We start from the raw sequence: 21,349 nt of genomic DNA, 5'->3' as shown, positions 1-21,349 counted from the left end.
TTACAATTAGAGCTTCCCTCAAACACATGAAAGTGTAAGAAACTGTCAGAAGAGCAAGATACTATCCTTATTAAATGTTATTCCATGGATACTTTGTGAGAATAATTAAGTTTGAGGAGAGCCATTATTGTATATCAATAAGTGATCATCAAGAAATATTTTTTAATCATTTGATATCATAAAATTAATTGTTCTTTATGCTGCTTTACTTAAAAATTTTTCTTCTCCACAAAATCTTCTGCTGTATAACTGAACCTAAATTATTATTTCAGTGACACATACTGGAAACTAGATTGTCTTCCCAGGAAAATGTCTACAGAATTAATCTTTTTTATTACAAAAAATTAATAATAAACTAAGCTTCCAGCAACCAAGAAAAAACCATATGATTGTGAAATTTTGTACTCCAATAAATATCCCAGATCATCTTATGGAACTTCAGAATGTTACTCCAGGACATCAGTTTATCCAAGCTTTTATATTAGGCAAAAGTATTTTCCTAACTTCATTCTCATATTCTCTTTTTACTAATAGCAATATATACATATATATACACACATATATATACACATATATATACACACACATATATACACATATATACACACATATATATACACATATATACACACATACACATATATACACACATATATATACACATATAGATATATACACGCACACACATATATATAAAGAACATTAGGGAACAAAGATGTAGTGGTGTCATAAATGATAACTGATTAAATGTTTCAGCTTTTAAACATTAGGGTTTGTCAGATGGTGGGGTCAGAAGACAAGGTATTCAATACTTGGCTTTTAAATATATTTCCTTATATGTGCAAAGAACAAAGGGAATTACATGAAAATGACTTAAAACAAGGGTTTGAGATAGAGGCTATGTGTGTGTATGTGTTTGTGTGTTAAGCTCAGTATTATAATCAAAGCTATAATGAGCAAGAAGTCTTCTAAGACATGTACATCCATTGGCGGAATTGTTTCCACCCTTAATATCTTCACTTAACCCCTACATAATAATGATACCATCTATCTGAAAAGCACATCGCAAAGGAATGTTATTCTCCAGCAAGAGAATAATCTTGTAAAAATCATGATATTCGAATGATAAAAAATTAAGCTGTTTATTTTTTATAGCAAAACTCAATGAGATATTTAATAAGTGAACAGATTCCAAAAATATTTAAATTCTGGTTAGGCAAGCATTCATTTGTTTACCTCTTTGTGTTTTAAAACTGAAATATTAACAGAATTAAATTTTAGAAATCCAAGGGAATCTGTATATTTTAAAGCATATATTAAGGACAAAAAAACATACGTTACAAAAAATTATTTTTAAAGGCATTTTTTTCCTCTGAGAATTCGAAAATAAACAGAAATTGAATTAAATCATCTTACATTTGAAGGCTTAATTCAAAATATTATCTCTGTGTATTTTAGAAATACTTGCATAAAATACGTCCAGTTGCCTTCTCAGGGATGGTATTCTAAAAGTACTTTTCTACTTTCATCTAAATATTGAAACAGATGTCAAATAATGTCAAAAACAATGAACTGTCTAGTAAGCTCAAGAACAGTCAGAGTTAGAATATAAATTTTTTTCTGATGTTGAGTAAGATGTTTTCTGATGCTAGTTTGTTGAAAACTTTCCTGAAGCCTTTGAGCTCAAAAAAATTTTTATACTTTAAAAAAAAAAATATTCAGTAGGACTTCAACTTTAAGGAACCAGTCCAGGGAGATATTTGTCAGGACAGAGTGAGACAGATAAATAGCAAGAACCGACTTTCTATGCTTTAATGAAATATATATTTTATAACCTACAATGGCTAAGAATTTATGTAAGAAATAAAATTGCATTCATTGGTTTAATAAAACTAGAAACACACTCATAGACACGCACGCCATCATCATCATCATCTTTCATTAAACCGTGTATGGTTTACAGAAATTTTTGTTGATATAGTTTTCTCTTTTCATAGAATATATTACATTTATAGTAATTATTTCAAAATTCAGATGTGTGAACACCATGGGATACCCCAAAAAGTGCACTGGGGTGTGGGAAAATTTTGGAACGGCTTGTGCTTGCCATTTATCTAACTATAATTTTTACTTGTGTTCACTTCATAATGTGTATAGGATATAAATATGCCTGTGTAAAATTTAGGGATAAATCTGGATGCTTTTATTGGTAGCACTTTCTCAAAAATGCATGGGATGCTGCTTCAACAAAGTTTGCAGAGTATGTGTTTACAGAACTAGAAAGTTGGACATAGTTTTCACAAAATGTAACTATATAACTGCTTCTATCCCTCTTGGTCTCCTCTGATTTAATGGATGATCTGATAACTCCCAGCAATATGGTTAAATCTTATTGCTATTTCTTGTTTCCATAGGGATAATCATTTCAGGGACGGGTTCCTTGTAGGGATAGAGGTACAATTACTGAAATGCTCTATTGCCACTCAAAGTTAAGTGATGAAAAATAGTAAACATCTAGCCCTCAACTGTATTCTCCGTGTTTTTTTTTTTTTTAATTCAAGACGCTGTATTTTCCCACACAGTTTATCCCATTGAGATAAATGCAATTTGAATTAAAACTTTGAAGGCAAGGACTCTGTTTGGTTATCTTTGATGTAATTCCTTTGAACATATGTGTTGACTGAAGAAAGGCTAATTCTACCAAACTCAACTCTAGTATTCTCTGGGCTTTACATGGGGTGATTAGCATAAAGGGAGGTAAGTAAAATTTATAAAAATTAATAAATTCCAATTATGCTATAGCAGAATAAGCCCACTATAGCCTATCTTTTTTGCTGTTTATAATTATAAATCCTGGACAAATTACAAAAAGTAAATACCAAAGACTGAAATGAAGTCACTGGGTTTCTACTGTTAGAAAAAGAAACACCTTCTTTAGATGTTTACACAGACAGAAAAATAATGACTCATTTATTGTGAGACATTGGTAAGTGCCACAATATAGTTTTTGAAATTTAAAATCCAGATAGCCTGATTTCAGAGCCCAGACTCTTAAATAGCAGTTATATATTCCTTTCTAGTCTTGTAAATCAAACAAAAAAAGTAAAATGCACTTCATTTCTGTATTGAAAAACACAGAAAAAGAAAGCAAGCTAGAATATTATGGATGGCAAAGATTGCTTGTTTTGGTTTTTGGTTGTTGTTTGGTCCTTTTTCTCTCATGACTTTGCCCTGAGGGAATGCTCTGGTCATAAAGCTGTGCATTGGAGAAATAGTGCAGATGGCAAAAACTTTAATTTAAAAACACACTTTCTTTTTTGTCATAATAACTTGGAAGAGGCACCCCGAATGACCAGAGCGCCCCTGCACAGAGTCCCCACTGGGGCACTGCCTAGTGGAGCTGTGGGAATGGGGACATCACCCTCTAGACCCAAGAATCTGGCAGAACCACTGGCAGTTTGCAATCCCAGCCTGGAAGGGACACAGACATTTAACTCCAATTCATGAAAGCAGCTACAGGGTCACCCTGCAAAGCCGCAGAGGCAGAGCTACCCAAGGCCTAGGGAGCCCACCCCTTGCACTAGTGTGCCCTGGATGCGGCCATGGAGTCAAGGATTATTCTGGAGCTTTAAGATTTAATGACTGCCCTGCAGGGGTTTCAGACTTGCATGGGGCTTGTTGTCCTTTTCATTTGGATGATTTATCCCTTTTGGAATGGGAAAGTTTACTCAATGCTTGTACCACCATTGTATCTTGGAAATAAATAACTTGGTTTTATGTGAAAGAATTGACGAGGTCCCTATGAAGACTGTTAAATTCCACCTTTGAAGTCAATATCAGTTTCCAGACACATGTGTGTGTGGCTGTTCAAATAATTTAATAGTAGGTATTCCTTGGCTTCAAAGAGTGAGATAACTATTAATGTTTTTGCTCCCAAAATCATGTAGTGTATTGTCTACAAGCTAGGAAGATCACACACTCAGGTTTGTATGTAATATTTCTGATTTATGTCTTTTTTTCCAGGGTCTTGTTTAGTTTTACTTTTTTTTATACATTTTCATTTTTAATTAAGTATTAATAGTTGCATTAAAATAGTCTACAATGGATTCATTAGTCTTTTTTCTTTTTTTGAGACAGAGTCTTGCTCTTGCACTGTCACCCAGCCTGGAGTGCAGTGGTGCAATGTTGTTCACTGTAGCCTCAACCTCCCAGGCTCAAGCTATCCTCTCACCTCAGCCTCCTGAGTAGCTGGGACTATAGGCATGTGCCATGACACCTGGCTGATTTTTTTTTTTTTTTTTGTAGACATGGGGTTTGGCCATTCTTGATTTAACAATGGAGTAAACAGACATTCAATATGGCCGAATAGGAACAGCACTGGTCTGCAGCTCCCAGCGAGATTGATGCAGAAGGCAGGTGATTTCTGCATTTCCAACTGAGGTACACAGTTTATCTCACTGGGCCTGGTTGGACAGTGGGTGCAGCCCATGGAAGGCGAGCCGAAGCAGGGTGGGGCATTGCCTCACCTGGGAAGCACAAGGGTTCGGGGAATTCCCCCCGCTACCCAGGGGAAGCCGTCAAGGTCTGAGCCTGAGGAACTCTGGCACAGATACTGCACTTGTACCACGGTCTTCACAACCTGCAAACCAAGAGATTCCCTCTGGTGACTACTCCACCAGGGCCCTGGGTTTCAAGCACAACACTGGGTGGCCAATTGGGCAGACACCGAACTAGCTGCAGGAGTTGTTTTTTGTTTTTTTTTTTTCCCATGCCACAGTGGCGCCTGGAATGCCAGTGAGACAGAACCTTTCCTCCCCTGGAAAGGGGGGCTGAAGCCAGGGATCCAAGTGGTCTGGTTCAGCAGGTCCCACCCCCATGGAGCCCAGGAAACTAAGATCCACTGGCTTGAAATTCTGGCTGCCAGCACAGCAGCAATCTGAGATCCACATGGGATGGTCGAGCTTGGTGGGGGAAGGGGCGTCTGCCATTGCTGAGGCTTGAGTAGGCAGTTTTAGGGCCACAGTGTAAACAAAGCTGCCGGGAAGTTCAAACTGGGCAGAGCCCACTGCAGCTCAGCAAGGATGCTGTGGCTAGACTGTCAGATTGCTCCTCTATGGACAGGACATCTCTGTAAAAAAGGCAGCAGCCCCAGTCAGGGGCTTATGGCAGACTTAAACGTCCCTGCCTGATGGCTCTGAAGAGAGCAGCAGACCTCCCAGCAGAGCGTTCGAGCTCTGCTGAGGGTCAGTCTGTCTCCTCACGTGGGTCCCTGACCCCTGTGTATACTGACTGGGAGACACCTCCCAGTTGGGGCCGACAGATACCTCATACAGGAGGGCTCTGGTTGGCATCTGGCAGGTGCCCCACTGGGTCGAAACTTCCAGAGGAAAGAACAGGTAGCAATCTTTGCTGCTCTGCAGCCTCCACTGGTGATACCCAGGCAAACAGGGTTGGGAGTGGACCTCCAGCAAACTCCAGCAGACTGGCAGCAGAGGGGCCTGAATGTTAGAAGGAAAAGAAACAAACAGAAAGGATTAGCACGTCCACTCAAAGACCCCATCCAAAGGTCACCAACATCAAAGACCAAAGGTAGATAAATCCACAAAGATGGGGAAAAGCCAGTGCAAAAAGGCTGAAAATTCCAAAAACCAGAATGCCTCTCCTCCTCCAAAGGATCACAACTCATCTCCAGCAAGGGAACAAAACTGGACAGAGAATGAGTTTGATGAACTGACAGAAGTAGGCTTCAGAAGGTGGGTAATAACAAACAACTCCGAGCTAAAGGAGCATGTTCTATCCCAATGCAAGGAAGCTAAGAATCTTGAAAAAGGTTAGTCAAATTGCTAAGTAGAATAACCAATGTAGAGAAGAACATAAATGACCTGATGCAGCTGAAAAATACAGCACAAAAACTTTGTGAAGAATACACAAGTATCAACAGCCGAGTCAATCAAGCAGAAGAAAGGATATCAGTGATTGAAGGTCAACTTAATGAAATAAAGTATGAAGACAAGATTAGAGAAAAAAGAATAAAAAGGAATGAACAAAACCTCCAAGAAATATGGGACTATGTGAAAAGAACAAACCTACGTTTGATTGGTGTACCTGAAAGTGACAGGGAGAATGGAACCAAGTTGGAAAACACTCTTCAGGGTATTATCCGGGAGAACTTCCCCAACCTAGCAAAACAGGACAACATTCAAATTCAGGAAATACAGAGAATACCACAAAGATAATCCTTGAGAAAGCAACCCAAAGCACATAATCGTCAGATTCACCAAGGTTGAAATGAAGGAGAAAATGTTAAGGGCAGCCAGAGAGAAAGGTCTGGTTACCCACAAAGGGAAGTCCATCACACTAACAGCAGATCTCTCTGCAGAAACCCTACAAGCCGGAAGAGCGTGGGGGCCAATATTCAACATTCTTAAAGAAAATAATTTTCAAACCAGAATTTCATATACAGGCAAAGTAAGCTTCATAAGCAAAGGAGAAATAAAATCCTTTACAGACAAGCAAATGCTGAGGGATTTTGCAACCACTAGAACTGCCTTACAAGAGCTCCTGAAAGAAGCACTAAACATGGAAAGGAACAACTGGTACCAGCCACTGCAAAAACATACCAAATTGTAAAGAACATTGACACTATGAAGAAACTGCATTAACTAATGGTCAAAACAACCAGCTAGCATCATAATGACAGGATCAAATTTACACATAATAATATTAACCTTAAATGTAAATGGGCTAAATGCCCCAATTAAAAGGCACAGACCAGACTGGCAAATTGGATAAAGAGTCAAGACCCATCAGTGTGCTGTCTTCAGGAGACCCATCTCACGTGCAAAGACACACATAGGCTCAAAATAAAGGGATGGAGGAATATTTACCAAGCAAATGGAAAGCAAAAAAAAAAAGCAGGAGTTGCGAACCTAATCTCTGATAAAACAGACTTTAAATGAAAAAAAGATCAAAAGAGACAAAGAAGGGCATTACATAATAGTAAAGGGAACAATGCAGCAAGAAGAGCTAACTATCCTAAATATATATGCACCCAATACAGGAGGACCCAGATTCATAAAGCAAGTTCTTAGAGACCTACAAAGAGACTTAGACTCTCACACAATAACAGTGGGAGACTTTAACACCCCACTGTCAATATTGGACAGATCAACAAGACAGAAAATTAACAACGATGTTCAGGACTTGAACTTAGCTCTAGACCAAGTGGAACCAATAGACCTCTACAGAACTCTCCACCCCAAATCAACAGAATATACATTCTCTTCAGCACCTCATTGCACTTATTCTAAAAAGGACCACATAATTGGAAGTAAAACACTCCTCAGCAAATGCAAAAGAATGGAAATCATAACAAACAGTCTCTCAGACCACAGTGCAATCAAATTAGAACTCAGGATTAAGAAACTCATTCAAAACCACACAAATACATGGAAAATGAACAACCTGCTCCTGAATGACTACTGTGTAAATAACAAAATTAAGGCAGAAATAAATAAGTTCTTCAAAACCAATGAGAACGAAGACACAACGTACCAGAATCTCTGGGACACATTTAAAGCAGTGTTTAGAGGAAAATTTATAGCACTAAATGCCCACAACAGAAAGGAGGAAAGATCTAAAATTGACATCCTAACATCAAAATTAAAAGAACTAGAGAAGCAACAGCAAACAAATTCAAAAGCTAGCAGAAGACATGAAACAACTAAGATCAGAGCAGAACTGAAGGAGTTAGAGACACAAATAACCCTTCAAAAAATCAATGAATCCAGGAGCTGCTTTTTGAAAAAAATCAACAAAATAGATAGACTGCTAGCCAGACTAATAAAGGAGAAAAGAGAGAAGAATCAAATAGATGCAATAAAAAATGATATAAGGGATATCACCACTGATCTCACAGAAATATGTGGGTATTCCCATCAGAGAATACTGTAAACACCTCTACACAAATAAACTAGAAAATCTAGAAGAAACGGATAAATTCCTGGACACATACACCCTCCCAAGTCTAAGCCAGGAAGAAGTCGAATCCCTGAGTAGACCAATAACAAGTTCTGAAATTGAGGCAGTAATTAATAGCCTACCAACCAAAAAGAGTCCAGGACCAGATGGATTCACAGCCGAATTCTACCAGAGGTACAAGGAGGAGCTGGTACCATTCCTTCTGAAACTATTCCAAACAATAGAAAAAGAGGGAATCCTCCCTAACTCATTTTATGAGGCCAGCATTGTCCTGATACCAAAACCTGGCAGAGACACAACAAAAAAAGAAAATTTCAGGCCAATATCCCTGATGAACATCGATGTGAAAATTGTCAAAAGAATACTGGCAGGCCAGGTGTGGTGGCTCACGCCTGTAATCCCAGCACTTTGGGAGGCTGAGGCGGGCGAATCACAATGTCAGGAGATTGAGAACATCCTGGCTAACATGGTGAAACCCTGTCTCTACTAAAAATACAAAAAAAAAAAAAATTAGCTGGGTGTGGTGATGGATGCCTGTAGTCCCAGCTACTCGGGAGGCTGAGGCAGGAGAATGGCGTGAACCCAGAAGGCGGAGCTTGCAGTGAGCCAAGATCACGTGACTGCACTTGAGCCTGGGTGACAGAGCGAGACCCCGTCTCAAAAAAAAAAAAAGAATACTGGCAAACTGAATCCAGCAGCACATCAAAAAGCTTATCTACCACAATCAAGTTGGCTTCATCCCTGGGAAGCAAGGCTGGTTCAACATATGCAAATCAATAAACGTAATCCATCACATAAACAGAACCAATGACAAAAAACATGATTATCTCAATAGATGCAGAAAAGGCCTTCAATAAAATTCAACACCCCTTCATGCTAAAAACCCTCAATAAACTAGGTATTGATGGAACGTATCTCAAAATAATAAGAGCTATTTATGACAAACCCACAGCCAATATCATACTGAATGGGCAAAAACTGGAAGCATTCCCTTTGAAAACTGGCACAAGACAAGGATGCCCTCTCTCACCACTCCTATTCAACATTGTATTGGAAGTTCTGGCCAGGGCAATCAGGCAAGAGAAAGAAATAAAGCGTATTCAGATAGGAAGAGAGGAAGTCAAATAGCCTCTGTTTGCAGATAACATGATTGTATATTTAGAAAATCCCATCGTCGGCCCAAAACCTCCTTAAGCTGATAAGCAACTTCGGCAAAGTCTCAGGATACAAAATCAATGTACAAAAATCACAAGCATTCTTATACACCAATAACAGACAAACAGAGAGCCAAATCATGAGTGAACTCCCATTCACAATTGCTTCAAAGAGAATAAAATACTTAGGAATCCAACTTACAAGGGATGTGAAGGACCTCTTCAAGGAGAACTACAAACCACTGCTCAATGAAATAAAAGAGGATACAAACAAATGGAAGAACATTCCATGCTCATGGGTAGGAAGAATCAATATCGTGAAAACGGCCATACTGCCCAAGGTAATTTATAGATTCAATGCCATCCCCATCAAGCTACCAATGACTTTCTTCACAGAATTGGAAAAAACTACTTTAAACTTCATATGGAACCAAAAAAGGGCCCGCACAGCCAAGACAATCTGGGCAAGAAGAACAAAGCTGGAGGCATCACGCTACCTGACTTCAAACTATACTACAAGGCTACAGTAACCATAGCAGCAGGTTACTGGTACCAAAACAGATATATAGACCAATGGAACAGAACAGAGGCCTCAGAAATAACACCACATAGCTACAACCGTCTGATCTTTGACAAACCTGACACACACAAGCAATGGGGAAAAGATTCCCTATTTAATAAATGGTGTTGGGAAAACTGCCTAGCCATATGCAAAAAACTAAAACTGGACCCCTTCCTTACACCTTTTATAAAAATCAACTCAAGATAGATCAAAGACTTAAACGTAAGACCTAGGACCATAAAAATCCTAGAACAAAACCTGGACAATACCATTCAGGACACAGGCACGGGCAAAGACTTCATGTCTGAAACACCAAAAGCATTGGCAACGAAAGCCAGAATAGACAAATGGCATCTAATTAAACTAAAGAGCTTCTGCACAGCAAAAGAAACTATCATCAGAGTGAACAGGCAACCTACAGAATGGGAGAAAATTTTTGCAATCTATCCATCTGACAAAGGGCTAATATCCAGAATCTACAAAGAACGTAAATAAAATTACAAGAAAAAAACAACCCCATCAAAAAGCGGGTGAAGGATATGAACAGACACTTCTCAAAAGAAGACACTTATGCAGCCAACAGACATATGAAAAAATGCTCATCATCACTGATCATTAGAGAAGTGCAAATCAAAACCACAATAGGATACCATCTCACACCAGTTAGAATGGGGATCATTAAAAATTCAGGAAACAACAGATGCTGGAGAGGTTGTGAAAAAATAGGAGCACTTTTACACTGTTGGTGGGAGTGTAAATTAGTTCAACCATTGTGGGAGACAGTGTAGTGATTCCTCAAGGATCTAGAACTGGAAATACCATTTGACCCAGCAATTCCATTACTGGGCATATACCCAAAGGATTATAAATCATTCTATGATAAAGACACATGCACACATATGTTTATTGCGGCACTATTCACAATAGCAAAGACTTGGAACCAACCCAACTGTCCATCAATGATAGACTGGATTAAGAAAATGTGGCACATATACACCATGGAATACTATGCAGCCATAAAAAAGGATGAGTTCATGTCCTTTGCAGGGACATGGATGAAGCTGGAAACCATCATTCTCAGCAAACTATCACAAGATCAGAAAACCAAACACCACCTGTTCTCACTCATAATTGGAAGTTGGACAATGAGAACACATGGACACAGGGAGGGGAACATCACAAACTGGGGCCTGTTGCGGGGTGGGGGGTTAGGGGAAGGATAACATTAGGAGAAATACCTAATGTAGGTGACGGGTTGATGGGTGCAGCAAACCACCAGGGCACGTGTATACCTATGTAACAAAACTGCATGTTCTGCACATGTAACCCACAACTTAAAGTATAATAAAAAAATTGGAGTATACAATAAATATATACAAATTGCATTAGATTGAATTGATTATATTATTCAACTGGGTATATATTAAAATTGCTTTTTGATTGGAGAAGTTCATACATGTCAAAATTTTCAATGATCCGATATCAGAAACACAGTTTTATTATAACATCTTGTTTTGATATATACAATAAAAAGACTATGTTACAATAACTATAACAAGATCCCTATGCTCTCTATTTATTTTATTTATTTTCATTTTTGGATTAGTGACATAAGGGAGAAACATTATGTCCAAGTTTTTTGTTGTTATTGTTTATTACATAATTAGAAATAATTGTTACATTGAACAGTAGTATTGTTCAGTTTAGCTAGTACCAAGGTTGGAAAATCCTTCAGCAACATAAAAATACCATGCTGATGGTGCTGGTATATTAATAATATGCAAGTGGTTAGTTATTAGGCAGAAACAATGTCATTTTAAAATACCCCAAAAGTTATAAGTTAAATCCTATTCATTTCTCGTACTCTTAAGAATTCAGGTCAATAATTTCTCTGAAGACCTTGTGAAACTTTGGGTTACTACAGTTGGCAAGGAGACAGGTCTAGAACTTAGTTGCTTGGCAGGGTTCAGAAACTAATTTTTGTGAACTGAAATTGCCATTCAAAAATGTTTTTTATTCATTTGGATGCATTTAGAGATGCCCTTTCTCACTACTTCTCATTCCTATGATGAATGTTTGATATGTTGGCTTCCTCCAGAATATATGGAAGTTTCTATTATTACATTCGTTAATTTAACCAACTAAAGCAATAAGGCATGAAAAGGGCTTCTGTCGTATGCTTCAGTGGCATTATTATTTTTAAGCACATCTCCAGTGGTTGATGTCAATGAAAACGTTATTTGGTTATTACTGTTCTCCAACAATTAGTTCACAGCAAAATAAGTATAATTTAAAATATATAGAGAGTTTTAAAATGCAAGTAAAAAAGAATAAATTCCCAATACATCTGTTGCCTAATATACTTTAAAAATGTTTCTTTCTTTTGAGAATTTAGGCTTAAAAATATGTTTCATTCTAAATCCCAGCATAAGCTGGCTATAATGATTAGGGTACACGTGTAAAATCTGGGTTTTTCTAAGGATTGCAATGGGACCCTCCTCTAACTTGAAATAGTATTTATGTATGTTGGAATTTCTAGCTTTGGCAAAGCTTTATCTTGGAATACCACAAACTTTGTCGGTATGAGATTGCTTCAGACAAAGAAGAAAATGGGCATGACAGACACATATCACTGATAATCTAACCTGTCACAGAAGGAGCTCTTTGGCACAATATACGGCAACAGAATTACCTTTGTACCATCCCACTGAGGGATATAATTTCCTGTCTGAGGAACTGCTGTGAGAGGTGATATATTCAATGTTGCAGATGTTCCACATTCAAACACACAGGGTAGATTTCACAAAAGCTAACTCTAACAATGAATCTGTTATTATAACTGAAGGATCATGATATGTTCATTTCATGCCAAAAATATCATTTTTGATTGCCATCTCAAATAACTAAGAAAAAAGTGAAATAGTATTATCTTTGATGGACTGTGGGGGGAAGAGTCTTAGCTTTCTTAATTGAAAGCAGCTAAGTTTTATAAACTGTCTATTTTATTAGCTGCACAATCATGAATTCCACTTACAAAAATGTTGGAATGTCAGGGAAAGATGAATCATATCTGACTCTAGAGATTATTATAATTAAGTCAGAAGTATAGGCAAGACTTATCATAGGCATTTATTTATAAACAATTAAAATTTATAGGAATTTTCTTGGAAAGCTATACAATTTTCCATAATTATCTTATATAGTGGTTTATTGAATGTCTTCATAATTATTCTAAGTTATAATTAACACCTTAAGTTAGCTTCCTTAGTTTCTTTTATCCTGGAAGTTGGTCACCTGACCAAATAAAATCCTGATTTTTTCAGGTACTTTCAAAATCATAAAATACTTATTCGGGAAAAATAACTTTGGTATTATATTGTAATATTCATGCACGTTCATAACAGCTGCTTTTAGAGTCTCTTGAATTATTATTTTGTTTATTAAAGATCAAATTATTCTCTGAGATCTTTATGAAATACCCATAGTGTGTAAAAATATCATGGTCACCTTATCAACTGTGATTCTCCTTTCATAGTGAAGATTCTGCTAACACACTACATTGACTTGGAAGTAAAGCTTTTCTTGTTGGATGATTGGATTTTCTGTCTCTAATACACACACACAAGCACATACACAGGCATGCATGCACACACACTCCTGTTACGATTCAAACCCATTACTGCTCTTTTGTTTAGTAGACTACTTAACATGGTTGGCAAAAAGGAGGATGTAAAATAATTTCTAACATTACCTCACATATTTCTATTAAAAGTTTAATTACTTCATAGTCGTGCATGTTATTCTAATTCAATACAACATTTTGCTTGTTACCATAATTTTAGATTCTTAATTCTTTAAAGTTTTCATAAGCGTATTGTATAAAACTTAATGATTATCTGGGGAAAAATCAGAAAACTGAGGATATCTTTAATTAAGAGTAAAACAGTAAAAGTTTATATTATGATGTAGAGGTAAAAATTAATGTTCATATAAGTGCTTTATATTAAATTTACAGTAGCATGCAAAAAGAGCCCCTTTTTATACCTTTTACAAAATTATCATTGATTTCAATACTTTCTTATTAAACTTTTTCTAAATTATATCCTCAAAAGCTAAAGAAAGAACTTTAAGATACTTTAGGCTGTCTTTAGGATAATAAGGAAAAAAATAGCATTTCTGAAAAGATAGTAAAAGTAAAAATAAATTATAAATTATAACATTTTTCATTATATTATATAATAAGCCAAGAAATTAATCTCTGTTCAGGATTTTAATATTTGAGAACTCCCTGCTCTATAACATGAATAATTATCCTATAAAAAGCAATCATTTACTATACATTGGTATAACAAGGAATTACAGGTTGCAACATATAGAATATCTAGTAGAAAAATGCTGGTCACCCATTGTTATTGTCTGTTTTATATAAAGAAATGCAAACTTAAAAGTCCAAATACTGCTAGTATCATTGAAGTAACGAAAATTGCTAAAATAAGGTTAAAACATTATTGAAAGTGAAAATGAGCTCAAAATAGGTTTAAATACAGTTATGTTCTAAATCATATTTATCACATTTCCAATTTGCATCTTATAGAAAGCATTAAGTACCATTCCAGATTAGACTTTTGGACTATCCAACCTGTTATTCGGCCTGTACAAATGACAGCAAAACTATATCAGGAAAGACCCTGTTTGACCTCATAGATTTCTTCCTTAATGGTTTCGGCCAGTGAATTTTACTTTTCCTTTAAAATTGATCTTGGCTTTGTTATCTATAATTTTTTGAAGTCCTTTTGAATTACGTTTCAGTCTATTCTATATCATGAGGTTCTAAAAACACAAAGTAACCATCCATAACTCCTTAAATAATCAATTATAATTGTATGCGTTCTCATGTGACAAACCACATTCTTTGATCTACTTTCAGTTACCTTCTACCTGTTGCAAAAGATATGACATCTTTCTAGTAAATCCACATTATCTTACTCTTACTGTCCTCATTTTACCACGATGAACTAAAAAAGCCAAAAGGTAAATGGCAGATTTTTAACAGTAAACACATATACACAAAGTGCCATTTCTTAAAAAAAATAATTATAATACAAGTGCCTAGGTCCTTGAAATATATTAGGTGAAATAGAAATAGAACTAAATTTGGTCAAATGTAAGAGTTGAGATTATTTGAAAATCGAAAACTAATGTTTTCAGTGACCGAATGTAAACTTACTGAAGTGACTAAATCATGGCACACAAAGTATGCCCCTGCTAGCTGAGGAGACTATAGATAGATTAAATATATTATTTGCCTTAGTGTTCATTTAATAAAATATCCAGGAAAATTCCACTCCAATGTTTTCCCTTCATTGAGATACACTGTATACATTAAAGCATGTTATAATACATGTAAAAGGCATTCTTGTTCTAATAAATAAGCTAAAGTAAAATCCCTGGTATTATATATCTAGTATAGTTTGAGATATATGAAAGAACACGAGTGAAGATATCCCTTATGACTACATTGTTTATAAATGTGCTCTTATGCCAGAGGATTAAGAATCATTGAAATGAAATCCCATTCTAAGAATATCTTTAATATGAAATTCTTGAAGTACACACTGATGAATCTCACTTTCACATCAATCAAGAGAGACAGAGTGAGGGGCTGGGTGGAGGGATCACTGAAAAGAACAACTTTATTCATAACCAGTTATGCCTTATTCCTTATTAGAGCCACCCTATGGACTTCCTATTCATCCTGAGAGGTGACAGCGTGCTGGCAGTCCTCACGGCCCTCGCTCGCTCTCAGCGCCTCCTCTGCCTGGGCTCCCACTTTGGCAGCACTTGAGGAGCCCTTCAGCCTGCCACTGCACTGTGGGAGACCCTTTCTGGGCTGGCCAAGGCCAGAGCCGGCTCCCTCAGCTTGCAGGGAGATGTGGAGGGAGAGGTGCGAGCGGGAACCGGGGCTGCGCACGGAGCTTGCGGGCCAGCTGGAGTTCCGGGTGGGCGTGGGCTTGGCAGGCCCCGCACTCGGAGCAGCCGGCCGGCCCTGCCCACCCCGGGCAGCAGGATTTATTGCAAAGAGCGAAAGAACAAAGCTTCCACAGTGTGGAAGGGGACCCGAGCAGGTTGCCACTGCTGGCTCCGCCAGCCTGCTTTTATTCTCTTATCTGGCCCCACCCACCTCCTGCTGATTGGTAGAGCTGAGTGGTCTGTTTTGACAGGGCGCTGATTGGTGCGTTTACAATCCCAGAGCTAGACGCAAAGGTTCTCCACATCCCCACCAGATCAGCTAGATACCGAGTGTCCACACAAAGGTGCTCCAAGTCCCCACCAGAGTAGCTAGATACAGTGTCGATTGGTGCATTCACAAACCCTGAGCTAGACACAGGGTGCTGATTGGTGTATTTACAATCCCTGAGCTAGACATAAAGGTTCTCCTGCCTTTATGAGCCGTAACACCGCAAAGGTCTGCAGTTTCACTCCTGAGGCGGCAAGACCACGAACCCACCAGAAGGAAGAAATTCCGAACACATCCGAACATCAGGAGGAACAAACTCCAGACGCGCCACCTTAAGAGCTGTAACACTCACCACGAGGGTCCACGGCTTCATTCTTGAGGTCAGTGAGACCAAGAACCCACCAATTCCGGACACAATCCTACATCTTTTGACTGTATATTTCCGTCATTCCAAATAGATTAATAAAAATGTATCTTTCTTAAGAAAAAAACCAAACACCGCATGTTTTCACTCATAAGTGGGAGTTGAACAATGACAACACAGGGACACATGCAGGGGAACATCACACACTGGGGACTGTCAGGGGGTCGGGGACAAGACCAATATCTAATGCACGTGGGGCTTAAAACCTAGATGATGGGTTGATGGGTGCAGCAAACCACCATGGCACATGTATACCTGTGTAACAAACCTGCACATTCTGCAATGTATACCTATATAACAAACCTGCATATTCTGCACATGTGTCCAAGAACTTAAAGCAAAATTTAAAAAGAAACTTACAGAAGAAAACACAGGAAAATATCTTCATTATACCTAGGCAATGACAGATTTCTTAAACAAGGCACAAAGAGCACAACTCATAAAGGAAAACTAACAAATTTGCATATAATAACATTTGAAATTTTGTATGACAAAAGACACCATCAATAAACTAAAAAGACATGCACAAATTGGAAGAATTTAGCAATTCATATAGCAAAATAATTGTAATAGAATTTATGAAGAACTGCCACTGGATAAGTAAGGCAAAGCAGAAAGGAAAAATTAAGCAATTGATTTCAACAGAAGAGGAAAAAATGAGTGGCAAAAGAAAAATATGTAAAGGTGTTCAATTTTGCTATTAATCAGACAAAGGCAAATGAATAATGCTAGGCTGTTTTATACCTATTGGCTTGAGAAAAATTGAAAATTGATATTATGTATTGGTAAAAGTGTAGAGGAATAGAAATTCTTGTACACTTCTGGAAATATAAATGACTCCCAATACTTTGGGAGAAAAAAAAAAAAGGAAAAAGAAAAAATCCTAACCAAGATATTCTCAATGCTATCTTCACCTTTTCACTTCCATAAGACCATTGTTTCAGAAACTCTTTATCAGGTTTTACATAGTTCTCAAACTCAAATAACATGGAATTGGTGGTTATGTTTTCCAAACTTAGTTTCTTTAGAAAATTATCCCCTTTTCTCTCCACAAAGTGAAGTAGATTATAGCTTCCTAAATTTCACTCTTATAGAAAAAAACATGCATAAAGAAGCTACAACTTCAAAGTGGTTAAAGCCTGGTGGAATCAAAAACACAGTTGGTCATCCTTTTATACGAAAAAAAGTACATTTATTTGGCAAAAATTTCAACAATAAAAATTCTATTGTATATAGTTCTTAATTTAACTAAACAACTGCTTCTTCTCCATGTTTGTAGCACAAAACCGAGAACAGTTCTCCCCAATTTCTTTCGATATAATAGAGTTAAAGCTAGAACACAATTGTAGACCACAATTCACCATTACAAAGTGCACAACAGAAATGGACAAATACCACTGTAATCCCAACATATTCACCTTTGAGTAAGTTCTACAGCAGCACTGATTTTACAATGATTCCACAGTCATTTTACAATAATAATAAAGTTATTAATAAACAAGTACTACAATAGTCATTCTACAGGGAACAGTCCAAGTGGCCTCAGCCTCTAGAAACAAGAGGAAACAAGCCTCTTATATTGTCTATAAGAGGCTAGACAATAAGAAACTTCCTTTTTCAGACTTCAGCACTAAAGTTGCAATTAACTTCATTTTCAACTGAGAAAGAGAAAAGCCTGAGACCTAAGACCAGTTAGAAAGCTACAGGACAAAGTAGTAAGGGTCCAGAAATGAGTGTATAGAAATACTCTAGGCTGAGTCTAGAAATCTTGCCACCCAGATAGCAAACGTCCTTTCCTTGAATAAGAGCCTTCTATGTATCCATATGCAGAAAATGCTTTTTGCCAGGCACTATAAACAAAATGGTTTGGGCGTTTCCTTGAGTGTTTACGGGCCCTCCTCAGTAAGGTTACGATGAATGTTTTTATACCACTTCCTTCTAAATGCCCCTGGATTCATGTATGCCTTAGGAACCTCAACTCCTTCCTATTTTAGTTTATTTCAGAAACAACAGTTTGGGAATGTGGGCCTGTTTCCTTTCTGGTAACATGGAAACTTATAATATGCAAAGTAATAACCCATGACTATTGTTTGTTAAGATGCCTAAATAAGATACGGCATCTTATATTTAAAATTGCCAGTAATTAGATAACAATATAAAAAATGGCCCTAGAAGCAGACAAATCATGATCTATTTCACACTAGAGCAGAATCAGAATCAGGCTAGAGTCCAATTTATAGCCCTAGATTCCTCAGGTTTTAGCTCCCTAAAAGCAGAGAAGTAAAATTACAGCTCTCTGGGGTAGTATCTTTCTGTTCGTATCCTAGTGAAAATCTGCCTGTACTTGTGAAAAAGCTGCCTTTTTAAGACAATAGGATTATTTTCATGCGGGACCGGTCTGAAGCTTTTTACATTCCTACCCCACTCCCTACCAAACCAAGAAATTTAAAAGGAAAAATACATAAATGTATTAAAAAGATAAAATAATAGAATACCTGGATCTACTTCACTTTTTGCTGACATGTTATATATTGATTCATTTTCTTTCTTTTTAAATTATCTTCCTTTGGTTTCTTCCAGGGAATTTTTTTGTCAGTTTTTTTCTATTTTTTGTTATGTTTTTACTTTTATAATTAAAATCAATAAAAAGTATTCTCTAAAACCAACTATCTAACCAACAGCCAATAAGAGAAAATTAACATTTGGAATTTTCTTACCTTTATGCAGACTTTTCACTGCTCAGAGCAAGAAGAGTTCACCTTTATGCAAAAAAATGTTCATGAATTTACTGTACTTTGGCTCTCATGGTCAACTCCCTGCAAAGAATAACTACTTCTTCAAAATTGGCCAATAAACTGTACAAAAAGGAATATAAGAATTGAAAGCTTCACAAAACTCCAACAATAAAATGAGGGATGTTATAGCCATTTTTATAGAGGCTTTCTTTTCTATCACTCATACTAATGAACAGAGAAGATTACCGAGAGAGAGGGAGAAAGAGGGGTGACTTATTATATGTAGCAACCCTGGGACTAAGAAAGTTGGCTAGAAAGCCAAAAACATTTATCTCTGAAATCTCAGCTTGATGTTTAATCTCAGATGTATTAGTCTGATGGTCTAAAGAGTTCAAATCCAGGGGGAAGGAGAGTTAAGAAATCTTTGCTGCAGTGTTCATTATGATGGCACCTTAGTGTCTTTCACCTGGAAACACTGAAATATCTGACAGAATTTAGTCCCAATAATTAAGATTGGTTCTCATAAAACCACTAGAAAGAAAGATGCCTCTATAAAAGATAAGCATACAAATAAGTTGGGGTGAACATAAACAGGTTTACCACAGTACATAAGGGACTGACTACTTGGGTTTTTGGAACATCATCAATCATGGATTAGGCTCTTGCTTCTTCTCTAGCTCCAGCTCGGCAGCCCTTTGTACTGCTGCATCGACTAGCAGCAGGAAGCTGCTGAAGTCGGCGTGCTCCTCTGGAGACACAAGTTCTGGAGAAGACGGGGATGTGACAGAAACCTTGACCTTTTTCTTCGGCTGGGCTATTCCGGTGAGCTTCTGGCTAGGGGCCGACTCCGGATCTGGTTGCTTCTCTCTTGACATCTGGCCCTTTGGCAAGGGCCACAGGGGCAGGCTTTGTACATTGTCTGGACCACTGGGCCCTGACTTGGCCGGCACAGACGCCTCGGTGCTCTGCAGGTGGGTGGCATGGGCATCTTTGCCCGTTTTGTGGCCAATGATGGGGTCGTTTCTACGCTGTTGAAGCATATCCGGGAGAATGCGTCTGCGAGCATTGATAAACCAGTTAGAAATCTGCAACAAAGACAAATTGGTCTTCTCTGACAGCATTTGCTTCTCTTCTTCTGAAGGGTAGGCCTTAAACCGATGCTTATACATCCAGTCGCGGAGGATCTTAACGGACTCGGCTGGCAAGTTTCCCTTGCGCTTCTTCTTGTGCTCTGGTAAGGCAAGAACTCTGCCTGTATCTGCGTTATTTCTCGACATGATTGAGGTGTCTTGGGCTGGGCTTTGGGTCTTCGCCGGGCTGTCTTTTTCCACCGGGCTTTGGGTCTCAGCCGGGCCGTCCGCAGCGGCCTCCATATTCCAAGAGGCTTATCGTTACTATATTGAGAATCACAGACAACTGAGTTAGGACAAAGGTAGGTTTGGGAGAGCCACTTTAGAAAGCATGGGCAGGTCTGTAAGGGGAATTCTCACCTGTTGTTTCCGAGAAAGACAAACAGCGTTGCTAACAGAGTTGCTAACAGCCGAGCTGGTTATCTCAGTGACGTCACATCCTTTCTTCTCCACGCTGCCCCTCCCCTACACTTCCTGGAGTTCTTTTCCCATTGTTCTTGCGTATTTTCTGTAACTTCCAATGCACTTGATTTCACGCAGTTTATAGCTCTCCAGAGTTTTCTCTGCTGTTGTCACCAGTTTCCACTAACTGACGAACTCTATTTCTATTAGTGTAAATACGCCTACCACTTTCTTCCTATTTGATTTTACTCTGGTATTGTTCTTCCCGTTATTACTTATAATTGTCTCACTGGCTCATCTAGATATATCAGGAACAAATTGTTGATTAGCTACTAACCTCAATAAAAGAGTGTAACTACTGTACTTTGACTCCCCTCTTCCATTCTTCCATGTTCAAAGCAGATATTAATAATAATTTTGAACTAGACTTTTGCTTTTGATGCCTTGCTGCTTAAATTTTTCTTCTCTATGGCCTTAAAATCTTTGTCTTTTTTTTTTTTTTTGATATGGAGTCTCGCTCTGTTGCCCAGGCTGGAGTGCAGTGGCACAATGGCGGCATCTCGGCTCACTGCAACCTCCATCTCCCAGGTTCAAGCAATTCCCCTGCCTCAGCCTCCCGAGTAGCTGAGATTACAGGCATCTGCCACCACGCCCGGCTAATTTTTTGTATTTTTTGTACAGGCGGGTTTCACCATATTAGCCAGGATGGTCTCGATCTCCTGAC

General features: G+C 37.9%; 1 protein-coding gene across 1 annotated transcript; it reads right to left on the bottom strand.

Annotated features, from left to right (window-relative positions):
* Positions 1-19,668: 19,668 nt before the first annotated feature.
* TGIF2LX (TGFB induced factor homeobox 2 like X-linked) lies at positions 19,669-20,644 on the bottom strand. The gene is made up of 2 exons (NM_138960.4): positions 20,584-20,644; positions 19,669-20,487 (listed from the first exon to the last, which is right to left on the bottom strand). The coding sequence occupies exon 2, from the start codon at positions 20,464-20,466 to the stop codon at positions 19,741-19,743; it is 726 nt and encodes a 241-aa protein (NP_620410.3). The 5' UTR covers positions 20,467-20,487; positions 20,584-20,644; the 3' UTR covers positions 19,669-19,740.
* Positions 20,645-21,349: the final 705 nt, after the last annotated feature.

Source organism: Homo sapiens, chromosome X, assembly GCF_000001405.40.
Source record: "Homo sapiens chromosome X, GRCh38.p14 Primary Assembly".
Taxonomy (NCBI): Eukaryota; Metazoa; Chordata; class Mammalia; order Primates; family Hominidae; genus Homo; species Homo sapiens.
The sequence above is the reverse complement of the archived record's forward strand: the minus strand, read 5'-3'. Positions and strand labels throughout refer to the sequence as shown.